This window comes from Homo sapiens, chromosome 20, assembly GCF_000001405.40.
Source record: "Homo sapiens chromosome 20, GRCh38.p14 Primary Assembly".
NCBI classification, from domain to species: Eukaryota; Metazoa; Chordata; class Mammalia; order Primates; family Hominidae; genus Homo; species Homo sapiens.
This window is the reverse complement of record NC_000020.11, coordinates 61,600,310-61,624,550: the sequence shown is the minus strand read 5'-3', so window position 1 is coordinate 61,624,550 and position 24,241 is coordinate 61,600,310. Positions and strand designations below refer to the sequence as shown.

Genomic DNA, 24,241 nt, shown 5'->3' with positions numbered 1-24,241 from the left:
TGGAGGCCATTTGGTGGACACAACCCTTCAGACATCCTCACTCCTGTCTGGATCAGGGGGAGCTGGGGAAGGGAGAAAGCCAGGTTCCTTGCTGTGAGCTAAGCCTCTCTCCTGGGGTGCATCTGTGATTCCAGAGAGGGATTCAGTGACCAACAAGCCCTGACTCCATGTCTGCCCGATGCTGGGACTTGGTCATTGGATACCTTGGGTCCAACAGTCATTGCTATGGCTTTCAGGATGACTTGTGGGAAAGAACAGTAAATTGTGGGACTTATTTAGACCTCTCTCAGTAAGCCACTTAGCGACTGCTAGTATCTTCCCGATTCCTGAGGTGAGGTCCCCAGGTGAGCATGGCCTAGCACGACGGCTTTGGGGAACACTGACCGGATGCTTGGGTCATGGAGTTTTACCCTTCTAGCAGCCTTCTGAGCTGTGAACCGTGCTCACTTCACTTCACAGATGAGGAAATGCAGCTCCAGAGAGAACAGGATACTTGCCAAAAGACAGGGAGCGAGAAAACGTTGGAACCAGATTTGCACACCAGCATCTGATGGTGGATGCACTGTTCCTCGCTCTAGGAACCGTGTCTTTCCTGCTCAGATTCTGGGGTGTTCCTCGCTCTAGGAACCGTGTCTTTCCTCCTCAGATTCTGGGGTGTTCCTCGCTCTAGGAACCGTGTCCTTCCTGCTCAGATTCTGGGGTGTTCCTCGCTCTAGGAACCGTGTCCTTCCTGCTCAGATTCTGGGGTGTTCCTCGCTCTAGGAACCGTGTCTTTCCTGCTCAGATTCTGGGTACCTTTTATTTTCTGATTGCAAAAATACTTTGCGCTCAGTGATGCACTAAAACCAGCCTTCTCCTGGGGATGGCTGGTCCCCAGGGCTGCGTGGTGACGTCAGAACCTCCCTCAGAATCAGCTGTGATGCACTTTGCACGAATGATGCTCATGTAGAGGAAAGACAACACGGCCGCTGGGTCTAGCTCTTGATGACCCTGCGGGCTCTCTTGATATGGTTTGATTAATTATACTTTTTTAGGTATTCAATTTGCTCTTGAAATTGTTTTCATTGTAATGGTATTTCTGAAGGCTTTGGAAGGTGTAATCTATATAAAGAAGACAATGTGAAATTAGCACCTTCAATCACTGTTCTAAACGGGAGTTTAAAGGGGGCTTTGTGATGGGGTGGGGAAAGGTAACAGACAGGAAGCTGTCACCATGCTCCCCTAGGAAGGCAGCCACGGAAACCAGCAGCTGTCTGCTGATGACAGACGTCCCAGATGCTCAAGGAAAAAGCAGGCGCCGCAGTGTGGTGAGTGGGGTGCAGCGTGGCAGGTGGGGTGAGCCAGCGGCTGGCATAGGCAGGGTCGAGATTTGAACCCAGGCCCTTCTACTCCCACCTCCACATCCTCATCTGGAAACTCCACTTCTCTGCATCCATCTCCAACCCACACGTCTTATGTCATTATTTTAAATGAAGCTTTGCCTCTAAGGCACCTCCCCGTTTGTTTCCCTGACTGTCTTAAATGACTGGTTGTGGTCCATGTTGGTAACAGGCCTATCCCACTGTCCCAAGCAGCTTCCGAGTGAGGGCTCCAGGCCTCCTGGGCCCTCAGTGAGCACCCATGACTGCGAGGCTCTTAAACTCCGCAGCCACCTCCCCTGATTCAGGTCCCCTCTAACTCAAATGCAGGGATTCTCAGCTGGGGGCAATTCTGTCCCCAGGGGATGGGGCAACGTTTGGAGATGGTCTTGGCTGTCACAACTGGGCAGGGTGGGTGCTACTGGCATCTACTGGGCAGAGACCACGGATGCAGGTAAGTACCCCACAATGCACAGGGCAGCCCCTACAGAGAGTTATCCAATCCCAAGTGCTGAGGTCAGGAAACCCCACTCCAGTGGCATGCTGTCCCTGTCACTGACGTTTTCTGTTTGCAGAGTTTTAGGTGAGTCTTCCGTAGCAAGGGCCTGGGCCATGTGCAGCAGGAGGCTACTGTGCTGGGGCAGCTTTAGGACCCTCTGTCTCCCTGTCAGACTCTTTGGCATGGGCCACAAGTGTCTGGTCCTCGGATGCTGCAGCCAAGCTCCATCATGTCCTGACATCAGCTTCTCAAACACCAGCCATCCAAGAAATGTCTCACTTCTTGCACCCGGGGTATGCCTGACAGACTGACACCTCTTAACTCTCAGCAAACTACCTGCCCCAGGGAGTACATAGCAGGGGCCTCTCCCCTTTCTGAGGGAAGGAGGTGGCCCCCGTGCATAAAACTCAGCGGCCACCTAGGTCCTTTCCATAAGCACATTACTCCATAAACACATGGGTGGGGAGGAGGCGGTGGCACCTTAAATGCAGCCAACAGGAGCAGTCTGCGTTTCGCAGTTACAGACGTGGAGCATCGAGACCCAGCTTCTCCTTTTGTGGCATGTACTGCTGCTGGATGATATCCCTGGCATTCAGTGAGCAGCCAACCCTTGAGTATTGATCCTAATAGGAGGCCTGCCGTGATAGGGCAAGACGCAACTGTGAGGCGATCGGCACAGATTAACAACCGGCTGCTGGGACCTGCAGAGCATGCTTCCTACATGGATGGGAACACAGAGCTTTGACAGGAGCCTATTTTAATAATTATAGTTTATGCACTTCATCTGTTTTTATTTTTAAATTAAACACCTATGTATATTAGGGATCTTCAGAGAGAAGCACACACACTTCATTCCAAAGAGCGTTTTCATCTGTGGCAAATTAAGTAAAATATAAAATTAACAAATGTAAATAGTATCAACAATCTGAATTAAATATTAAAGCCATCTTATGTCTCAGTGGCTATCTTTTACTTACAAAAAAGACCTTGAACTATAAACTAGCCTTGCTAGTGCAATGCCCAGCTGTTGGGTGCTTTGCTCTGGAATAATATTTCCCTCTGCAGCTGATGCTCGTGTGTGCTGTATTTCTGCCAATTCGTACGAGCCAGCGATGTTCTCCCGGAGAAGGACGGTGATGAAAGCCCTGCCTGACAGAGGCAGGCAGCAACAACTTTGTTACTCTGATTGACTGCATGGTATTTTAGGCAAATTAACCTATCCAAAAAATTCTTTATTACCATGCTCATGCACAGATGGAAATATGAACTTGACAATTCTGGGTTCTCGCTTTGCAATTAACTGAAATGTTTCAATAGACTAATGAACTTTCATCCGAGGCATGTTCGCTGTCAGCAGAGGAGACAGGCTGTTGTTGGAGAAAGAGTTACAGAATGTCAAACAGATCTTGACAGCGCGTTCTAGGAAGCAGGGCAGTACAGAAGCAAATAGCCAACACTAGCAGCCGGCCCTGACCGGAACCGCGGTCCATTGGAGACTTTCTTACATGCACACTCCGCCTGATGGTCAGCTTTCTACAGAAATCTCAGTTCACAATGCTCACCTTTGACTAAAGAAATACTGACGGCGCCATCTTAAGATATGTTTCACTAGAACAAATATTAACAGTGTGGTTGGAAAACAGAAACAGATGCCAACGCTTATTTGGACACAGATAAATCTCCACAAACCTGCAGACATGATCGAGAGCAAACAGCCTGACTTGGGATGAACCAGAGACCCAGGAAAGCTGAACCTTCCCGCGTGGAAGAAGCGCCTCTCAGCAGTCTGGGGGCACTCACCAGGGTGGTGGAGGCGCTGGGAAAATGGGCTTGACATTCCTGTTTGATAACCGGGATGGCATGGCCAGGGAGAATGTGTCCATTTTCTACCTGATTCGTATTACAACATATGAGACCAGCCTCTGCAAACAAGTAAACAAACAAACACAAAGAAACAAACATTGCTCTCCCAGGAGCCTAAAGGGAAAGATGTTGGTTTCAATTAAATGAACTAAAATTAAAATAATTTAAATATCTTTGTTAATAAATTATGGAGCATGTTGGTAAGTAGCAATTTTCACCACTATTTTTCCTGCTATAGCAAGATTTGTCTCTCTATCCACCTCTTTATTTCTCCATGTATCTCTGCCTATCTATCATGTATGTATGTATGTATGTACGAATCTATCATCTATCATCCATCCATCATCCATCTATCTATCCATCCATCATCTATCAATCATCCATCCATCAAGCATCTATTATCTATCCATCCATCATCCATCTATCTATCCATCCATTATCTAGGTATCTATCATGTATCTATCATCCATCATCATCATCTATCTATCCATCCATCTATCCATCCATCCATCTACCTACCTATCTACCTACCATCTATCATCCATCCATCAACCATCTACCCACCCATCCATCATCTATCTACCCATCTATGTCTGTCTGTCTGCCTACCAGCCTGCCTGTCTGTCCATCCATCCATCCATCCACCCACCCACCCATCCATCCATCCATCCATCCAAACCATCTTTCCAAGTGGTACCCAGTGCACCCTTTCTTTCCTGACCCCTCTGGGCCTTTCATCTCTGAGCTGACTCAGGAAGCCAGGGAGGACAGGCCTTGCAAGCAGCTGTGATCCCTGCCTGGCTCCCCCTGAATGCTGGGCCCATTACCAGCTGTAGTTCTCCCTTCTGCCGATGTCCCAACAGAAGCAGAACAAGCGTCATGGAGGCCCTGGTGCAGCTGTGCTTGGCTCGGATGTGCCTGGCGCTGATGCTCGGCCGTCAGGCCCCAGCGCTGCCATCATCAGAGGCCCTACGGCAACTTCCCCTCTTGCTGCAAACTCTGACAAGTGAGTGCCAGCCCCTCTTCCCTGTTGTGTAGGTTCCTGAGTGCCCTCCCACCCGGGCATCGGCAACCTCTTTGTGTGGAAAACTCAGCCCCGTCCAACAGCGCTCACGTGAGGATACAGATCACAACGGCTTGACATAGTCACCACCCCAAATTGAATGCTGGACCCTGTGCTCTCTGAGAATGGAGACCAGGAGAGCCTCACACAGCCTGAACCAGACTTGAGCAGACATCGCTCTGTCCTGGAAACAAAGCTCACTCTTCTTCGGTGTGAGGGGTGGCCCGGGGCCAGCAGTGGATGGTTCACATCTACTGAAGCTCTCACTCTGTGCCAAACTCAGAGAGTTCTAATCATCATTTTGCTTTTAGGTATAGTTTAGGGAATGAAAAAAAATTATTTGCGTTTTAAAAAATAGATACTGGGGCTTCCCACAAGTTCCAGAAATCATTTGATTGATAGTTATCCTCCTTCTAACTCCAGGAGACCACATCACATAGCAGGAAGCACAGAGGTGAAGGAGTGGGGGGCACGCGGAGGTGGAAGAGAGGCGGGAGGGAATGGCAGCTGGGGCTGGGGCTGGGGCTAGTTTCATCCAGCAAGTGTCCAGTCAGGGTGACCGAACCCAGCAGACATGCCCCAATCTGCTCCTCAATAGCAAAGCATCACCTGTATCTGCAGGGTGGCAATGTCTGAGACCTGCCAAGCACATAGCAGGGCTAGGTGTGCAACTGCAGCTGGGCCAGGCCTGTTTCTTTATTCACTATCACTGGGCAGGGGCCACGCCAAGACTTGCTGCTCTGGAAAGGAAGAGGGCAGTGAACTGGGGTCTCTGCTGCCAACTTCAGATCTCCTATTGTTGAGGTATCTGTGGGAGGCACATCCCGGGCCCTGGGTGCAGCGTTGTAAGCCAGCCTGCACGCTCTTCTTGGCTCCAATTTCAGAGCCACAGAAAGAACAGAAGGCTGGAAAGTCACCCCGTTGGCCCCTGGTCTCTACCCCTCTCTGAATTCACCACTTGCCATAGAAACCTCAGTCCTCAGGCAATAAAGAGCAACACATCTGCATTGCTCACACGAGTGAATTCTCAGTTAACCGAAACAATAGGGGCCTCCACAGGGATGCTCTGAATCTCAGAGTACCCGTGATACAGCGAACTCTGAGATCCATCTGCCCAGCACCGCTGAATTGCTCCATAACCAGGACCATGCCGGGTGCTGGATGCACCTCCAGTCATTGATTTGGGGGACTGGATCCTGGGTTCCAAGGGCTGAGCACACAGGCCGGGGTCCCATTCCCAGGCAGCAACACCAAGGTGGAAGGGCCCGCTCCTGCCCCCGGGCATCTCTGTGCCACCATCAAACCAGTCTCATGAGGCCCACTTGCTTCTTTTGCTTGTCCTTTGTTGATTCATTCAGAGAAATAAAAATAAAATCCCCTCAGCCAGCTGAACGGACCCCATCTCAGCCAAGGGGACCCCAGAGAAACCTGAAAAACAACGCTCCCAGCCAGGATGGGATGGGAGGCCAGACTCCCCTCAGTGAACCCCTTTCTCACGAACATTTACCCAGGATGCTTTCCTGAGGAGGCAGCGGAAACTGGCTCCGGAAAACAAGAACCGGGCCACCCATGCCTTTGTTGCCTTCAGCCACCCAGCCGAGGCCAGCACCGGCCCTGTATTAGTCTGTTCTCACGGCTGCTGATAAAGGCCTGCCCGAGACTGGGTAATTTATAAAGAAAAAGAGGTTTAATGGACTCACAGTTCCACATGGCTGGGGAGGCCTCGCAATCGTGGCAGAAGGTGAAAGGCACATCTTACATGGCGGCAGGCAAGAGAATGAGAGCCAAGCAAAAGGGGAAACCCCTTCCAAAACCATCAGATCTCATGACATTCACTCACTACCATGAGAACAGCATGGGAGAAACCGCCTCCATGATTCAATTACCTCCCACCGGGTCCCTCCTCAACATGTGGGAATTATGGGAGCTACAATTCAAGATGAAATTTGGGTGGGGAGACAGCCAAACCCTATCAGGCCTCTCCTCCCTCTTTGCAGTTTTGGGGTGACAGTGCACCTGTTTCACAGGTATCCCTCTCTAAACCCTGAGCACTCTCCCTGGACCGGTTCCAGCTGATTCTTGGAGGATTGTGCTCAGGGCGTTCATGCCCCCTGCTTCACCTTTTCACGTCAGAGGCTGAAAACTTCACCCTCAGACCACGCTGTCGCCCCCAGATTTCGAACCTGTGACCCACGAAGGGGCACGAAGCTCAGCTGTGCCTGTGCATTTTCTCCTTTTGCAAGTATTTATGCTCCTCCTATGACTTCTTGAAAACGGGGAATGGGGGGACGTTCTCAGCCTGCAATGGGGGCTTCACTCCCCAGCCTGTGGGATGGCTGTCTGCAGCTACAATGCTTTGTGAGAAATAGAGCTCTCCTCTCCAAACGCAGGGACCTCGGGAGTCTTCAGTTGACAATTCATGCCTTAACTGCTCACTGAGCACTGCCCCACACCAGGCCCCAGGTGCTGGGGACACATCTGCGGATAGAGTGGAGTCCCTGCCCTCCTGGGGCTTAGCTTCTAAGAGGAAAGACAGGCAGACACGACACAGCGTGGGAAGTATGGGTTCAGACAGGCTGCATGTTCTGAAAGAACAAAGCAGGCAGCAGCACAGAGGGCGGTGGTGGGTGCGGTGGGAGCCAAGGCCGATGAGCCTCTGCAGGATGACTCTTGAGAAATGGACCAAGTGCCAGTTCTTCCAAGTCACTTGTGGGTGTTCTTCTGTCCCATAGTGACAGGGGCAGGCTCAGAGGCACATTTCAGGAGCTATTTGTTCCTCTGTTTTCCACTGAGACACCTTCGCACAGCACCCGGTCCAGTCACCCCCCTCCACCCAGCAGCCCCCCATGGACCCACTGCCCCAGGACCCAGGAAGAACCCCTGGATGTGCAGCGGGGACCCTGACCAGGTCTACGTGCTGGGCCAAGGCCAGGGCAGTGGTGCGTTTTCTGGCCTGCGTCCCTGCAGAGTGGGAAGGTCAGCCCTGAAATCAAGAACATTTGGAGAGAAACGCAAGGACCCACCTGGCTATGACCATTTTTGGGGTCCAGGAAGAGCAAGAATGGAGAGAGCCCATTGTGGTGGCCATGATGACAGCAAGCTTTGCTGAAAGAAAACTTCCAGGGAGGCTGAGCTATGCTTTGCCCTAAGTAAGGTCCAGCCCTGCCCTCTTCATCAATGCTCAGATGCTACCAGTAAGCTCTGACCCTCCCTGGAGCAGGAGAGAGTTCTATTATTTACCCCACTAACCTGCCTGGCATCCTCTCTTACTGTGGAGGAAAAAAGGGCCTTCCCCAACTCCCACAGGGTGGGCTGCTGTTTCCTGTGGTGGAAAGAAGGCGCTATGGACTGTCCTCCTCTGTGGGCAATGCAGGAGTGGGTCTCCAGAGTCCTCCAGAGACTGACGTCCCCCAAGGTGCTGCAGGAAGGGCTTCAGATATGAGAACCCTGATGGGCACCTCCACCCGCCCCACACAGAGGCTGGCTGATTCCCCGAGGGAAGGCAGCGAGGCAGCATCCCCAGGGCCTGAACCTGCAAATGGGACCTCCCCTGTCACGGCCTTTCTGGTCAGAGACGGCAGTGCTGGTGCAGTGTCAGGGAGGAAGTTCACCAGCTCTGCAGTCTCCCTGCCTGTGCCCCTGAGCTTCTGATTGAGCTTTGTGATCTCACCCACTGCTCTCTGTGCGGAGGGCTCACTCTGAGTTCCCAAGGGCAGGACGACGCAGGGGGCCCGTGGCCACGAGGCGGCTCAGCAGCCACGTCCCTCATCCCGTGGCCATCGCGTGGCCTTCACGGGGGCCCGCTCTGCTCTCTTGGCCTCTCAGACAGGAGACAGGGCTGAAAATCCAGCCAGCAGCGAGGCTGACCCCACCGAAGGCATTTGACCAAAATGATGATAATGGCAGAGAAACTTCCACAACCTGATATTCTGTTCTATTCCCAGCTCCCTTTGTCCTCACCATCACCCAAAATCCGGAAGTGCAAGATTCAGTTACCCTCACTTTTATACATGCTGATTTCATAGAAATCATTAATTCTCCTAACCCTCGCATCCCTACATTGATAATGACAATGTCTCTTGGGAACCACAGAACTAGCTGGGCCTAGATATATGCTTTTCCTTGAAGACACTGCAGAGACTAAAGGAAATGTCAAATCCTGAATCATCAGAGTCACAGGCAGGAAGTTTCCAACTCCCCAATATCCATTAATTTATTTTTCTTTACAAAATATTAATGCTGGAAACTTGAAAGTTGGCAAATAAGCTGCACGTGGGCACTCTGATGCTTCAGTGATTATCTATGTTTTCATTATGGGACATTCCTCACTTAAAAAATGCAAAATAGGCCAGGCACGGGGGCTCATGCCTGTCATCCCAGCACTTTGGGAGGCCGAGGTGGGTGGATCACCAGAGGTCAGGAGTTCAAGACCAGTCTGGCCAACATCGTGAAACCACATCTCTGCTAAAAATACAAAAATTAGCTGGGCGTGGTGGTGCACACCTATAATCCCAGATACTCGGGAGGCTGAGACAGGAGAATCGCTTGAACCCAGGATGTGGAGGCTGCAGTGAGCTGAGATTATGCACTGCACTCCAGACTGGGTGACAGAGTGAGACTCTGTCTCAAAAAAAAAACCAAAAAAACAAAAACAACAACAAAAAAAGCAAAATGTATGAACACATTTCCAATGCAGAGAACTCTAACTTGGCCAGAAGAGTGGCCTCCCAGCAGAGGCCTCTTCCACTGGAAGTCAGGGTCCACCTGGTTTCTGGTGTTCTGGGGTGGGTGGGATTCACTGTTTTCACATGAAACCTGGACAGCAGGGCTGAAGCAGCTCTCGCAGTGCTGGGAGGCTGGGCTGGGAGTCAGTGCTGGGAGAAAGTGGGTGCTGGGAGGCTGTCCCACTGCCCCATCCCCTGGGTCTGAGCAGGTGACCCTCATCCCCATCCTCAGGGAGCCTGAAGAGCGGGCCCCCATTAGTGAGTCACCCCCTCACTGAATTTTGAGAAATGGGTTTAGCTCTGGCCACCTACAAAAACAAGAGGCTTTTCTTTTTCCCTTGCTTTTTTCTTACATTCTCTGGGGTGTTTTCTCTGACACCAACCAATTCTCCAATTCTCCAACACCCAAACTAGGTGTCCAGAATTCAATTCAATTCTGACACTAATTGCCCACGTCAGCGCAGACTCCACAGATAAGGGCTGGGTCCCACTACACAACCCCCACTGCAGGCCAGTCCCACGCACCGGCCACCTGTGCTTCTGACTGACGGTTCCCAGGACACCCTCCTCAGGCTCAGTCTGTTGCTAGAATGGCTCCCAGAACACAATTTGCTTAAGTTTACTGGACAGACAAATGGAGAGGGCAAAGGTGTGGGAGGCGCAGGAGCTTCCCTGCCCTCCAGGTGCCCGCCCTCCTGCTCAACAGCCTGAAAGCTCTGTATCTTCCTGTTCAGGGGTTTTCACAGGGTTCAGCTTCCAGCCCCAGCCCCTTTCTTTTCTCTTCCTGGGGTCAGAGGGTGGGGCAAAAAGTTCCCATAATCTCTAGGTCTTTCTGGTGACCAGCCCTGTCTGAGAATATACAGGGGTCCACCCTAAGTCACTTCATTAGCATAAACTCATAAGCATAGAGACACTCGTAACACTTGCTAAATCCCAGGCTCTGGGAGCCGAGCCAGGAACCTGGACAAAGACTAAGTCAATTTCTCATTCCACCACACGTCCGTCCCTGCCACCTCTCCTCTCATACACCCACCTGCCTCTGCAGGACGAACATCTGCACCAGAGACTTAGTCACGTTTGTCAATCACAAGGAACCCAAGACATACAAACATTTAAGCTGCATTTGGAAAAATCAAGCGCCAGCAACCACTGTGGGGAAACAAACGAGCTCCTCCCCAAAGCCCCCCCTCCCACCAATTTGAGCTTCAGGATGTTGGAAACAAGCTCCAAAGAGCAAGAAGTCTGTAGAGTCGATGGCTCCACAAAGAGCTGTGGACTGCATGCCCAGCTCAAGAATCAAATTCAAGGGCTCAAGTAGAAAGCAGTGAAGGGGAACACAGCCAATGACTTCCCCACATCATCCCTCTGCTTCTTTTACCTTCTTGAAATTAATTATTTCCCTAGTGGTTTAGGTATCCAGTTCACTAGATCTTTTTTTTTTTTTTTTCTTTTGAAGCCTTTTTTCCAGATTTTGTTTTTGGAACCACATCCTAGATTCTGCACACAGATGGACAGTTTATAAATGACTAACACCACTGTGGAGGTGATAGAAGAAAAGCATACTCCACACAGAGACAAGCATGTGTCTAGGGCGATATTAGGAGGTGAGAAGATTGTTACCTGGCACTTGGGGTTCCTCCACTGACTGACCTACGCACACGGCCCTGGGCCAGATCTGGCAAGAACTTCTGCACCACTTGGAGATGAGCTACTTCAGAAACTCAGAATGAAGCCTCCCAGCTCACTCTGCCTGGAAGGCAGCAGCTGTGTCTCTCTGGTCTTTAAACGACTTTAAAGTGTGTTTGTTTTCTGAAGCACTTGGGTAAAGACTAGGGGCTGTCAAGGGGACAGAGAGTGTGAAACCAAGAGGGGGCAGGAGAAGAAGAAAAGCCCCTGTTTTTTCCGAGGAAACTTGTGGAGGTGAGAAAAGATGAAGAGACGAGGCAAACACCGCTCTCGGCAGGGGCAGGAGAAGCCTCACACTGCAAGCTTGTCTCCCTGGGCAAGCAGGGACCTCTAATTCACACCTTTATCGGCCCTCCTGGAGGTGTGGCTGGCTGTTCATGGTCGTTTTCTGCTTTGTACACAACACAGAGATGATGGAAGAATGCTCCTGAGGAGCTGAGTTCCCTGTAGTAGACATTAGGCAGAGAAACGGCCAAAGACCAAAGAGACCAATGAGGAGAATGCAGAGGTGTGCAATCCCTACCTCACACCAAATGCCAAAGCCAAGCCCTGTGGGTGACAGGCCTAAATGCAGCATGCAAAACCGTCACATTAGCAGAAACTAGGAGGCTGTTTTCAACTCAGCAGCTAGGTAGAGAGTCCTTAAATTAGACCCTCGAGTCTAAGCTGTAACATCGGAATGAAGGGCTTTTCATTCGGGAAAGTCCATAATTGGCCATGGTTACATCCCCACTCTGGGCCTCAGCAGGAAGGATGGTCTTAACAAATCCCACGGCAAAGTCAGGTTTGATGGAAAAGTGACCATGTGGACAGCTGTCCTTGGTTGGGTAAGTGTGAGTCCAACCACAGCATGCATATGGCACCCTCATTAACATGGGATGAGAGGCACAGCTGCTGATAAGGAGGAATGCCCACAGCATCCTATTATGAGAAAAAGGCAAGTCCACCCAAAATACGTCAGGCCTCAAAAATAGACAAAAGTACCAGGAAGAGAGGTTGATTATTGGTTACAAATATACAGTTTGACAGAAGAAATAAGACCTAGTGTTTGACAGGTCAGTAGTTAACTACAGGTTATAATGATGTATTGTATATTTTGAAGTAGCTAAAAGAGAATAATGTGAATGTTTCCAGCATAAAGAAATGATAAATATTTAAGGTGATGGGATATCCCAATTACACTGATTTCATCTTTACAAATTATACGAGTATATTAAATTATTGCAAGTACTTGAAAATATGCACATTTTTATGACTCAAAAAAAATTTTTAAATTCCATAATTGTACTAGATTGGAGACTTGCTATCTGGCAAAATCAACAATGTGCGTAATATCCAAGAAACCTTTGCAAAACCACAAGAAAAATGCATGAGCTGAAGATGTCACCAGGATGGTGACACAGAAGGTGACTCGCCCGTATCCCCCCACACAACAAGAAGTTTTCGCCCATCCACAGTCACAAGTCTCTCTGCAGGAGCCTCCAGATTCAGGCAGGAGTTCGTGAAGCCCTGGTGGAGCCCAAGACGTGGGAGAGTCATTTTTGAGAGCTCAGATCCACACCCAGGTGGCTGATCCACCCCACTGAGCTTGCTTCCCGGTTCAAGCCTGGAAACAGCCCTGTCCCCCAAGCGGCTTGGCTACAGCCTCGTTTGGCCTGAGCGTGCAACCAAGACATTTGCCAAGTCCAGGAGGAATCGCTCATGCTAGTGGGTTGGCAGAAAAGCTCTTGTGACCTCTGACATGAGTCTTGGCAGTGAACCCAAATGTGGCCCAGAGGTGCAGCTCCAGCCCCACTCAGCTGAGGTCCCAGCAAAGAGGTGCTCACACAGGAAGCCAGAGGGAGCCTTGCCCACATCCCGCAGGCTGGGAGTCTGAGCCTCCCTGTCAGGCTCAGCAATCTGGGATCACCAACCTCATCCCATGGCAGATCCTCAGGGATTGACTTGGTCTTTGCCCAGGTTCCCGGCTCAGCTCCCAGAGCCCTGGGATTTCACAAGTGTTAGGAGCGTCTCTATGCTTATGAGTTTATGCTAATGAGGTGACTTAGGGTGGACCCCTGTATATTCTCAGATGGGACTGGTCACCAGAAAGACCTAGAGATTATGGGAACTTTTTGCCCCACCCTCTGATCCCCAGGGAGAGGAAGGAAAGGGGCTGGGGCTGGGGCTGGGGCTGAAAGCTCCGGCCCCACTCACTGCAGTTGGGGACTATCCCAACCTGCTGGGAGACGTGCACCCTCTGAGCCAATGAGACCAGGCTCTCCAGCCTCCACCCCACCGAAGAGCCTGAGGGGGCCCAGTCTCAGCTGCAGCCCCTCTTGCTTTAGGCAGGGATCCATTGTGCCTGTGCAGAGACCTGCTGGGAGGCATGGCCGTCTGGGCCACCAGACGGTCTTCTGGATTCTGAGCCCTGGCCAGCATTTCCACACAGCTCCAGCACCCTTACTGGGTCTTCTGCAGGTCCACTCTGGAGCCCTTGATAGCCTTGTGGCCAGCCTGGACTTACAGTATCCTCTAGTGCTGAGATGGCTGCAGGGGTCACAGGCTCAGGAAATGGATTCGTATCTGAAGGACAGGCACAAGCAAACCTGACTGCAAAGACTAAAATAGACACCTAATCCCTCAACACGGACACTATCACATGTCCACAGGCATCAAGAACACTTGGGGAAATATGACCTCACCCAACAGAAAAAATCCTGCCGGCAAGGAGGCAGGGAAAGGGGAGCCCTCATATGCTGCTGCAGGGAACATGAGGTAGGACCACCGCCTCCAGAACAGCACGGAGGCTCCTCAGAGTCTACGAATGGAACTGCTCTATGACCCAGCAACCCCACTGCTGGGCACTCATCCTAAAGGAAGGAAAGCAGGTGTCTCGAAGAGATAGCTACGCTCCCAAGTTTTTTTGCAGCTGCATTTGTAATAGCTAAGAGATGGAATCAACTTTGGTGTCCATCAATGGACAAATAGATAAAGACAATGTAGTTCATGTACACAGTGGAATAGTATTCAGCCATAAAAAAGAATGAAATTCTGTCATTTGCAGCAACATGGATGGAACCGGAGGTCATTTCATGTAAAATAAGCCAATCACTGAAAGACAAACACCACACGTTCTCAGTCCCAGGTGGGAGCTAAAATGATGGACCTCATGGAGGTAGAGGGTAGAATGGTGAATGTCAGATCCTGGGAAAGTGGAGTGTGTCTGGGGGGTTGAGAGGAATAAAGAGAGGTCGGTTCATGGGTACAAACATCAAGTGAGACAAAAATAATAAGTTCTAGTGTTTGATAGTACAGTAGGGTTACTATAGTTAACCATCATTTTTTGTATGTTTCAAAATTGCCAGAAGGAATTATGATGTTCCCAAAGCTAAGAAAAGATAAGTGTTTGAGGTGATGGGTACCCCGATGATCCTGGTTTGATCACAGCACACTGTATACATGTAACAAAACATCACATATCCCCAAAATATGTACAACTGACATATTAATGGGAAAGAAAAAAATAGAAGAAAAACACAGGAAAAACAAATTTTAAATGGCAAAGGATGTGAGTGGAGAATTCGCAGACAAGCTCATTCAAATGGCAATCAAGTGCATGCTGAGACGCACATGTGCAGAGCTGCTGCAAAGACAGGCCATGCACACCCACTGGATTAGGGAAGACACGAGGTGACCAAGCGTGGCCACCTGCTGCCTGGTTCAGGCTCAGCCGACAGAGAATGAGGAGCACGTGACATCTCCTGGAATTTCCCTGTGGAACTTGCTGCGTGTCGTGTGCTGGGTCTCCACCTTCTCTCCAAGAGGTCCCTCCCTCAGGGGAGGGCCACCCCATGCACTTCTTTTGGAATTTGTTTCAACTTGGGAAGGAGCTGCCGAAAGTACTCTATAAACAAACACACACACACTGGAAAGAAAAAAAACAACCTTCTGCAGATCTAGGCAGCCCTGGACAGAGGCCGCTGCATTGCACGAGGCCAGTGCTTGTCGCAAAATCACAGGAAAAGCACCAAGCAAAGGCTGCCCGGTGGAGCACACACTGGAGGGGATTCTGCAACAGGAAAGATGAAGTCTTCTCTGTGGTCATTTTCTGGCCATCACATCAGCACGCACCAGTGATTCCATCACAAGCAACGGGAACACGTCCATGTGTTTGGTTTTACAACGATGATTCAGAGAGACATACTGAGATGTCCTTCCTATAATGGCTTGATTGCACTAATGTTATGCCACATTCGTATACCCTAAACACATGATGCTTGAGGGGGTCCCTGTAGCCGCAAAACCTGAGAAGGAAAACTGGCTTGTGATTCAGGAAAAGATGGAGGAGCTGGGCACTGAGCTCAGGGTCTTGTGCTTCCCCAACAGCCCTCCCGGAGACGTGAGGCTGCAACAGCCTAGCCTCGACAGGGCAGTCTTGATGCAGGTGCCACAGAGCAAATGCAGCAGCGTTGGCCAAGGCCCCAGCTGCCAGCATGGCTCTGCATACGGAAGGTGGACATCTGCTGTGATCTAGGAGGTCGTGCTCACCACCCCGCGTTTGGCTGATCACATGACAGCTTCATTGGCAAATACCTCCAGATACCCGTGGCAGTGACGCCTGCAGCCTGCTGACCACCACCACCAACCACAGAGCAATGAGGAAGTGCAGGTGGTGGGCCAGTGACCAGGAGAGCACAGCGTCCAACATGCAGAACTTTCTGAACAAAACCAGGGGAGCAGTGCGAGCTGTGGTGGACCACGTTCTTGGCTGCGTTGAGCACTCCCATGCCATAAAGCAAAATTGAGAGGATCAAGTAGGAAGAACAAGTGCAGTCCTTAACGCCCAGTGGGGCAGAATCGTCCATCACCACGCATGAGACCTGGAGAACTGTCCAGGGTCCTGACGACTCTAGGCTGCAGGGCCAGGTGCTGCTGGACACGTGCTGGGGTCGTAGCAGTTCCACTTGGACAGGGATGCTTTGTGGGCTGTCTCTTCATAGACTCTTCTCTTTGTTCTCAGAATGATAGCTGCAACTTCTCTTTGACTGGACCCATTTGGTAAATTTATTAACACTTTCTAGATAACATCAAGATATTTCCCTGCCAACCTGCGTGGCTTAGAAATAAATTTGCTCTCAGCCAAATTATGCATGCTGGTTGGACTGGTTAATCAAGCGTTATGACAAGCAGACACATCTAGGCTAGAACTCCGCAGCGGGTGTGGCTTTACCTTGTCCTGCAGCCCAGGATCTTCTCAGAAACACAGGAGACACCCTGGGGTCTGGGGGCGAGGGGAGAATGATGGAAGGGGGAGATGCAGAGAGGGGAAAGGCTCAGTTGTAAACTGGTGGAGTGTGAAATCTAACAAGGGCAGGGTTCTAGGAATGTGGATGAGGGAAAGGAGAGGAGGAAGCCTCAGGTGTAGACCCAAGTGTTGGGGTTGAGAGGGTAGGGAGACTCTGCACTGTGAGACACGGGCAAAGCCTGGCAGGCTCAGGTTCCAAACTGTCCATACAACAAAAGCATCAAACCAGCCTCCCTTCTGTCTTTGGCTACTAAGGACAGCCGCTTCCTATTCCTGCAGAAACCTTCCCAAGGCAACCTTTGCATCATCCAGCAACAACTTGGGCAGGAGCTAAACCAGTCTCTGAGGGCAGCCTGGCCCAGGTAAAGACAACACTGGCCCTGGCAGGTTGTGGGTCTTTGGCCCTGGCTTGATGATGCTGATTCCTCTTCACCTGGGACCTCTAAGATGCTATTGCGAGTCCACGTAGGTGTCGGAAAAACTCCTTAAAAAGAGATGCTTTTTTTTCTAATCTTATTACATCGTTGCCTGTTTTGCAGCTGCCAACCATTTCAGCCTCATGTTCCCTCTTTCTGCACTAATGTGTTGGGCTTTCCATTTTTTTAAGTCTATAAGAAAAATAATTTAGGAGAAAATCATAAATAATGGGTATGAGACATCAAGTGTATTTTCCAAACAGGACCTTCTCATCTTAAGTGGAATAAAAAGGCTTTCTGAATTAAAAAGAAAATCTATTTGCATTTCAGAAGGTCATGGTATTACCTAGTGCTTTTATGAAAGGAAAAAAGCAAACAAATATTAGCAAGGAAAACATCTCAGTTAGTGCACCCTGGGGCTAGGGAAAAATCCACCTTTATATGTGCGCAGATTAAAAATCTGTCTGGTCCTACATTGAGGGGTGTGTTTGTTTTTTCATCCAACTTGTATATTCAGGTTGGTGCCTGGGTTTCAGGTCTGTGTGGCAAAGGCAGGTTAGAACGGTGATGGTGTTACCACAAGGTTGTAAAGGTCAACAGAGCAGGATATGGACACATCACTGTCACCCACCACAGACCGGCCAGCAGCTCTATCCCTCCTCAGCCCTGTCCCAAGCTACTCAGCAGACCTTTGACTCAGTTTCCTGCAGGCCAGTCGGAGAAATCATTTCTGGCCACCCTGGGCTCACCAGGACATCCCGGCGGTAGCCTGGAGCTGGTCTGGAGGGGACAGTGTCCCGCACTATCCATCCCACCAGGGACCTTCAGGCAAGGCCACACAGAGTCATTTAACCTCAGGCAAATTAGAAATTTGCTTTGTTTCCACTTACAACATTTAGACCCCAAAATGTCACTGGCCCTGAGCAGGTGTGTGCACGACACAAGCCATGGCAGCCAAGGAGGCCTCCAATCTACACAACTGAGGAGCGGCGGGGTGCACTTCCCAGGACAGGCCACTGAGGCCACACCAGGAGGCAGCAAATCTGCCCACTTCCTGGGGGTCTGGCCCCTTTGCCAACAGCAATCATTCAGATATGCAGAGGAACTGGGAGAGGGAGAGGGACCTCTGTGTTCACAGGACAGGGCACTTGTGGGCCCTATTTTAGCTGAGAGACTGTCAGGCTTTGCGACAGAGGTGAGCTCTGGAGTCAGCCTGGGTCTGGGTTCAAATCCCAGCTCCCCCACTTGACCTGCTGTGTGACTCTGGGGAAGTCATTCAGCCTCTCTGTGCCTCAGTGCCCTCGTCTGTAGGATGGGTGATCACAGCAGCTCTCCCCCATGCTGTGGAAGGAATGGCAGCACGCAGAGCACTTGGAAGTGAGCCCGGCACAGAGGTGGTGCTTATCGGAATGGCCGTCTCTCTGCCATTCTCTGTCTGCTTGGCCACCTTCTATCCACATCTGCTGCGTGGACATTGAGCCACAGGGGGAGGTGCCCTGCAAACCCTGGCTACCACTCTTTGCCGTTCAGCCCGGCCTCAGGACTCTGCCATGCCCATCACCTGCACGGGCAGCCCTGGCTCCAAGGCACCCTGGGCCCATGTGTCCTCAGAGTCAGCGGGATGCCATTGCCCAGCATTGCCCAGAGGTTTGGCTCCAGAGTCCATCCACCCAGGGCCTCCTCATCCCAGGGGCAAATCATGCTGAGGTCCTTGACTTACCAGCTTATCACTCTCTACCTGGTTTCCTGTTTTTTTTTTTTTTTTTTTCCTCCACAGCCTTGACCGCTACTGGGAACAAAATTTTGCCCTCTCTGTACAAGGATCCAGATTCTAGATGTTGCAAGGACCTTCACTCATGTGCAAAACCTGAATTCTGCACCACAGGTCACAGCTTCTCACGGCAATCTGCTTACTGTTTCATGGAAAGGAGTTACAGAGGAAAAGCAGGGTTGGAGAGGCAGGAAAAGAGTGAATGAGAACAAGCCAGAAAAAGACAGAGATAGAGACAGAGAGAGGGAGAGACAGGGAGACAGAGAGAGAGACAGAAACAGAGACAGAGGGAGAGACAGGGAGGCAGAGACAGAGAGAGGGAGAAACAGGGAGACAGAGACAGAAGGAGAGAGACAGAAAGGGAGAGACAGAAAGGGAGAGACATGGGGGGAGAGAGACAGGGAGAGACAAATAGAGAGACAGAGACAGAGAAAGAGAGAGAGGGAGACAGATATACATAGAGAAACAGACAAAGAGAGGTAGAGACAGAGAGACAGAGATACAGAGAGGGAGAGAAAGACAAATAGGGAGACAGAGAGAGACACACAGAGAGAGAGAGGCAGAGTGGGCCCCACCAAGGACCCACCCCACAGGCAGCAGGGCCCTGGGCCTTGCTTCACAGAGGGGCCTTCGTCACCCCTGCACCCCGAGGGCATTCATCCAAAGCCACATTTCCTCAGTGGCAGATACCTCGCTGCCTACCTGTGCCCAGTGGCAGGCAGGGGTCATTACTTCCAATCACAGTAACTCACACTCATTGCCTAATCTTAAGGGTGACGTCTTCCCAAGTGCGTGGAATTGCATTTGATGGAGACTTGAAAACAGGCACCACGAGAGGCCAGCCTTCCACACTGTCTGCACCAAAACTTCCAGCTTGAAATAATGGAACCATTTCACCCAGACCCCAGCAAGCCTGGACGCAGCCCCTATTCAGGGAGGTGGTGATGGTGACAGCAGGAACCTGTCCTTCCAGGCCAGGCCTCTCTCTTCCTGTAGCCATTTCCTCAAATTATACCAGGGTCCCTGGCCTATTTCCATTTCTCCTGAAGTGACGCCCATAGCAACATTCACCAGGAGCTTCTAATTAGACCATTAGTGCAAGCTGCTGGATGGAAGAACGGCCCATTTATCAAATGACTTGTCCAAGAAATGACAGGAAAAACAAATCTACACGTGTCTGTGTGTTAGAGGGATGCATGTGCACGTGTGCTCTCAAATGTGTGCAGGAAGGAGTGCGTCAGTAAGAACAAACATCAAACACCGAGACACCTCCCAAGCCAGGGCACCCCTCACTTCCCTTCCCTCCCTTCTTACCCACGAGGTGGGGAGATGATTTCTACAAGACTTGAAATGCTGAAAATACCCTAAAAGCAAATCTCATCTCGGCTGGCCTCTCGCCTGGGAATATGCTGAAAGGAGAGGCCAAGGAAGCATTTCTTCCACTGCCAGGTATGTTCCCATTTGGAGTCCTGTGCTTTTCTTGCAATTATTCAAGCTGCATCACAGTATTAATAACTCATCGGAGATCATCGTCACTGTCCAAAAAGGCCCATTAGGTGCAAAGACAGGCGCTGCGGCTGCCGCCAGGGCAGATACTATAATGAAGTTTGCATCTCGGCCTCGACTGAAGCTTTTGGGCCTGTTACTCCGGAGACAGTCACTGACTCAGGATTCTTCCTCCAGGGCCTAAAAATATTGTATTCTTAGCTTTGGACACAAAAGCTAATCGGGAAGGAAACAATGGCATCAGCACTTTGGACTGGGAGTTAACAGCATCTAAACAACACCCAGGCTCTCTGTTAGGATGTGGGTAAGGGGAGGCTCGGCAGGGAGCTGGCCACGGGGATTGCGGTAGTTCCCTGTGGGTTTTAAAGAAGGATCAATCACGTGTGTGTGTGCATCAGCGTATGTCCCTGCTCATGTACATGTGTGTGTGCCTATGTGCATGCATGTGTGTGTACTGCATACCCACATGTGTATATGAACACTCCCAGGGCTTACTATGTCCCTGATGCTTTTCCCACATTATCTATTCCCCTATTTTCCCCTATTTTCTCATTTAGTACTCAAAAGGTCACAGGCATTGAGCCCTTTCCTATTCTACCTGGAGAACACCTAGGCAGGCTTCCTGACCCAGCTCAAATGTCACCTCTTCCAGGAAGCCTCCACTGGCACCCCAGGCACTTTGCTGCTCACTTCTCTGTGCTCCATTGGCACTTTGCACACTTGAGAGCCTGCCCTGGGCAGACGGGGTGGGCATGGAGTGAAGGGGACAATGGGACCTAGCAGGTGAGGGCCCGGGATGGGCCCTTCTGCTCCCTGTGCTTTGGGTCTCCCCTCCCACACCTGGTAGGGCACACCTGGCCTCCACAGCCTGGCCCTGCCTCCCTTCCAGCAGGAACCCTCTCCTGGCTCCCAAAACAGCCGCCCAACTGCCTGCCTGCATTTGTTTTCCTAGAGTCTCCTCGTCCAGATCTGTCTGCAGCCAGCTTCCCTAGGGAGCTGGGTCTCTGCAGGGGCCATCCGGAGTGGTGTGGGGCCCTGGTTGCCCCACCTTGGAGACTCCACCCCATCACCTGGCTTTGTTTTCTCCATGACACTCACCATTCCTGCAAACACTCTCCACGGACTTGACTTCCCTATCTGTCTCCCAACCAGAGTGGGAACTCTGTGACACGGACTCCGTGTCATCCCTGGCCACACCCCAGTGCCCTGAGCTGGACTCGGCTCACAGGGGTGCCCAGAGAATAAAAAACTGTGCTTCTGTTTAGCCACCTCTTGAACTAGACTGAGAGCTTCTGAGGGCAGGGGCCATGGCGCTCCCAACGTGTATCCTTAGTGCCTTGCACGGTATAAGGTGCAAAATGGTTGCTTAATCCAAAGCTTCTCTAAGACGCCTGCAGATCACGCAGGAGCTGGTGAAAATGAGTCCAGGGAGGGGGCCTCAGGTGCTGCATCTCTAAGGCTCTCCATTCGCTGGTCTGGAGACCACACTGAGAAGCGAAACCGTAACACGTTCATCAAGTAAATGCCCTGCGGGCGTGTACCCCAGTAAGCAGCTCCTCTGTGTGCGCTCACCAGGCCAGGCACAATTCCGAAATCATTTCATGATGTTGGTGCTGGCCTGGCACACACAGCACCTGGGAGACAGGAGGTGCTCAAGTTTTTTTTTTTTTTTTTTTTTTTTTTAATAAAGTGAATGTATAAACCCAGCATCAGAAAGCGACGCAGAGAACGGGCTGCAGCTTCAGGGTTTTTCCCCAAAGAGCTGGAATGAGCTTCCCTCTGCTCCTCCTTCCAGCTCACCAAAACATCCCCAAAGAATGAGGCTTGCAAAATTCAGAAGTGTAGGCTGTGTTATGGCTATTTTTACTGTTATTATTATTGATTTGTTTCTTTTTCAGCTGCTTCGTTTCCCTCCTAAGCAAGGCCTGTTACACCAAGATGTCCATCCAGCTGTTCATGACAGTGGAGTCCCGGAAGTTAAGACATGTGAGTTTCCTTTGAGGACCTGGTCATTTTCAGAGCAAGTTTCCTTCTGGAAGTTTAAGGTCATCCTCTCATTTTCCACCCTACTGGGGACCGGGTGTCTGCCTGCGTGATGTAGTGAGCCCATCGCTGAAATGCAGCAAGAACCTTGCGATAAAATGTGTGCTTTGGGGTGTCAGCGAGGGTGCTGGCAGCATCCCCTAACCTGGGAGGGCTCAGCTGGACACCCTCCGAGCCCAGCACATGATGAGGACCTGCTGCATTCACCAGAAAGCATCGCCAGCAGCCCCCAGTATGGGCCAGGCAGCAGGGCACGGCGCAGCTCCACCCCCGGAGAAGGTGCATTCTTGGGAGTCAAACGCTTTGCCAGCCCCTACCTTGGCGTCCTGCAGCTTGGCTCTGGGCGGCACTGTGGGCATGCGTCAGGGCAGACGGTGTCCTGCCATTCTCCTCCCTCCTGGTATGCTCCTGTCTCTCATATTTATGGCTGACTTTTCTACAGAGCTGTTTCCAACTGAACGCGACACTGCTTTCTGGATGCTGAGGAATGGAGCTGTGCAGCCCCTGTGGGCATCCACGGGCACCAGGACTGGTGGACTGAGCTTGGCCTAAACAAACGCCCATAGAAGGGAATGCATCCATCTCCTCTGCACAGACCTGGGTGGTGAAGAATGGGCTGCATGCGCCCCGCCAGGTGCAACTCAACTGAGACCAGGGAAAGGCCAGACAGGGCCCAGTCTCTGCCTTCCCTCCCCTGGACTCTGCAGCATTGTGGGAGAGGTGGGCACACACACAGGAGGGCAGAGGGTGCATGGTGGGCAGCGGGCGGGCATCTGAACAGGCCCCGGGAAGAGCAGGGCCGAGGGTTAGGCCGGGGCTGACGAGGAGCACCGCAGTGTTGGGCCGCAGGCTGCCCAGGTGACTCCGGAGATCTGCAGGGAGGGCACAGGTGAGGGGTGTGGGGCACTGGGCACCAGAGGAGGGAAGCCAGGGGACACAGGTTAGATGTTTGTCCTACCCAAATCTCCCGTTGAACTGTGATCCCCAGTGTTGGAGGTGGGGCCTGGGGGGAGGTGTTGGGTCATGGGGATCCCTTGTGGCTTGGTGCTGTCCTCACCACAGTGAGTAAGCTCTCATGAGAGCCGGTTGTTTAAAGTATGTGGCACCTTCCCCCTCTGTGCTCCCCTATCACCATGTGAGGTGCCTGCTCCCGCTTTGCCTTCCATTATGAGTAAAAGCTCCCTGAGGCCTCTCCAGAAGCTGAGCAGATGCCGGTGCCATGCCTGTACAGCAGGACCATGAGTCAATTAAGCCTCTTTTCTGTATAAATCACTCAGCCTCAGGTATGTCTTTATAGCAACACGAGAACAGACTAACACACAAGGGAAGCTGTTTCAGGGAAGGGCACTCAGGCAAGGTGCCTAAGGCTGAGTAGGAGCTCGCCAGACAGCAGGCAGGACTGGAAACAAGTCCACAGGGTCATGGTAAGATACAGCTGGCTTTCCACACCCGCGGGTTCTGCACCCGCAGATTCAACCAACTGAGGACCGAAATATTTAAAAAAATATGAAGTGACAATGTAATAATAAAAGACACAGTCTAACTATTTACATAGCACTTTGATTATATTAGGCATTATAAGTAATCTAGAGTTGATTTAAAGTATACAAAGGATGTGTGTAGGTTACTTGCATATACTATGCCTTCTTATACAAGGGACTTAAGGATCCTCGGATTTTAATACCCCTGGGGGCGGGCCTGGAATGAATCCCCTGAGGGACAATAGTTGTGAAGACAGCAGTGGCTGGCTGAGTGCTTCCTGGGCTGAGGCACTGCGCAGGGTGAGTTGCGGGCATTCATTTCTGAATTAGATTCTCACCGCTGTCCCGCCACCTGAGCACCACTATGGCTCCCGTTGCAGAGATGGCTCAGGCTCAGCCACTAGAGTGACTCCCTCAAGGCCCCAGAGCCAGGACCCCGAAGGACCCTGCCAGGCACCGAAGCCTGTGTCCTCAATCACAACATGCCTGTGCCTCGCAGGAGATGAGCTGCAGAGAGGACACTGGGCCATCCCCACCCTGGGAA

The 24,241-nt window shown here is 51.2% G+C and overlaps 1 protein-coding gene across 5 annotated transcripts in view, besides 2 other annotated features; it reads right to left on the bottom strand.

The window, feature by feature from the left end:
* Nucleotides 1–24,241, bottom strand: part of CDH4 (cadherin 4) — a 688,357-nt gene that overhangs the window by 316,067 nt on the left and 348,049 nt on the right. The window lies entirely within an intron of this gene.
* Nucleotides 5,584–6,085: an enhancer, noted in NCBI's record as "NANOG hESC enhancer chr20:60193522-60194023 (GRCh37/hg19 assembly coordinates)". NCBI's record gives its function as "activates a minimal SCP1, AML or CMV promoter by ChIP-STARR-seq in naive H9 embryonic stem cells {active_cell/tissue: H9 hESC(naive)}" and the evidence as "EXISTENCE:reporter gene assay evidence [ECO:0000049][PMID:30033119]".
* Nucleotides 15,971–16,171: a silencer, noted in NCBI's record as "peak4296 fragment used in MPRA reporter construct". NCBI's record gives its function as "represses an SCP1 promoter by STARR-seq MPRAs in K562 erythroleukemia cells {active_cell/tissue: K562}" and the evidence as "EXISTENCE:reporter gene assay evidence [ECO:0000049][PMID:32103011]".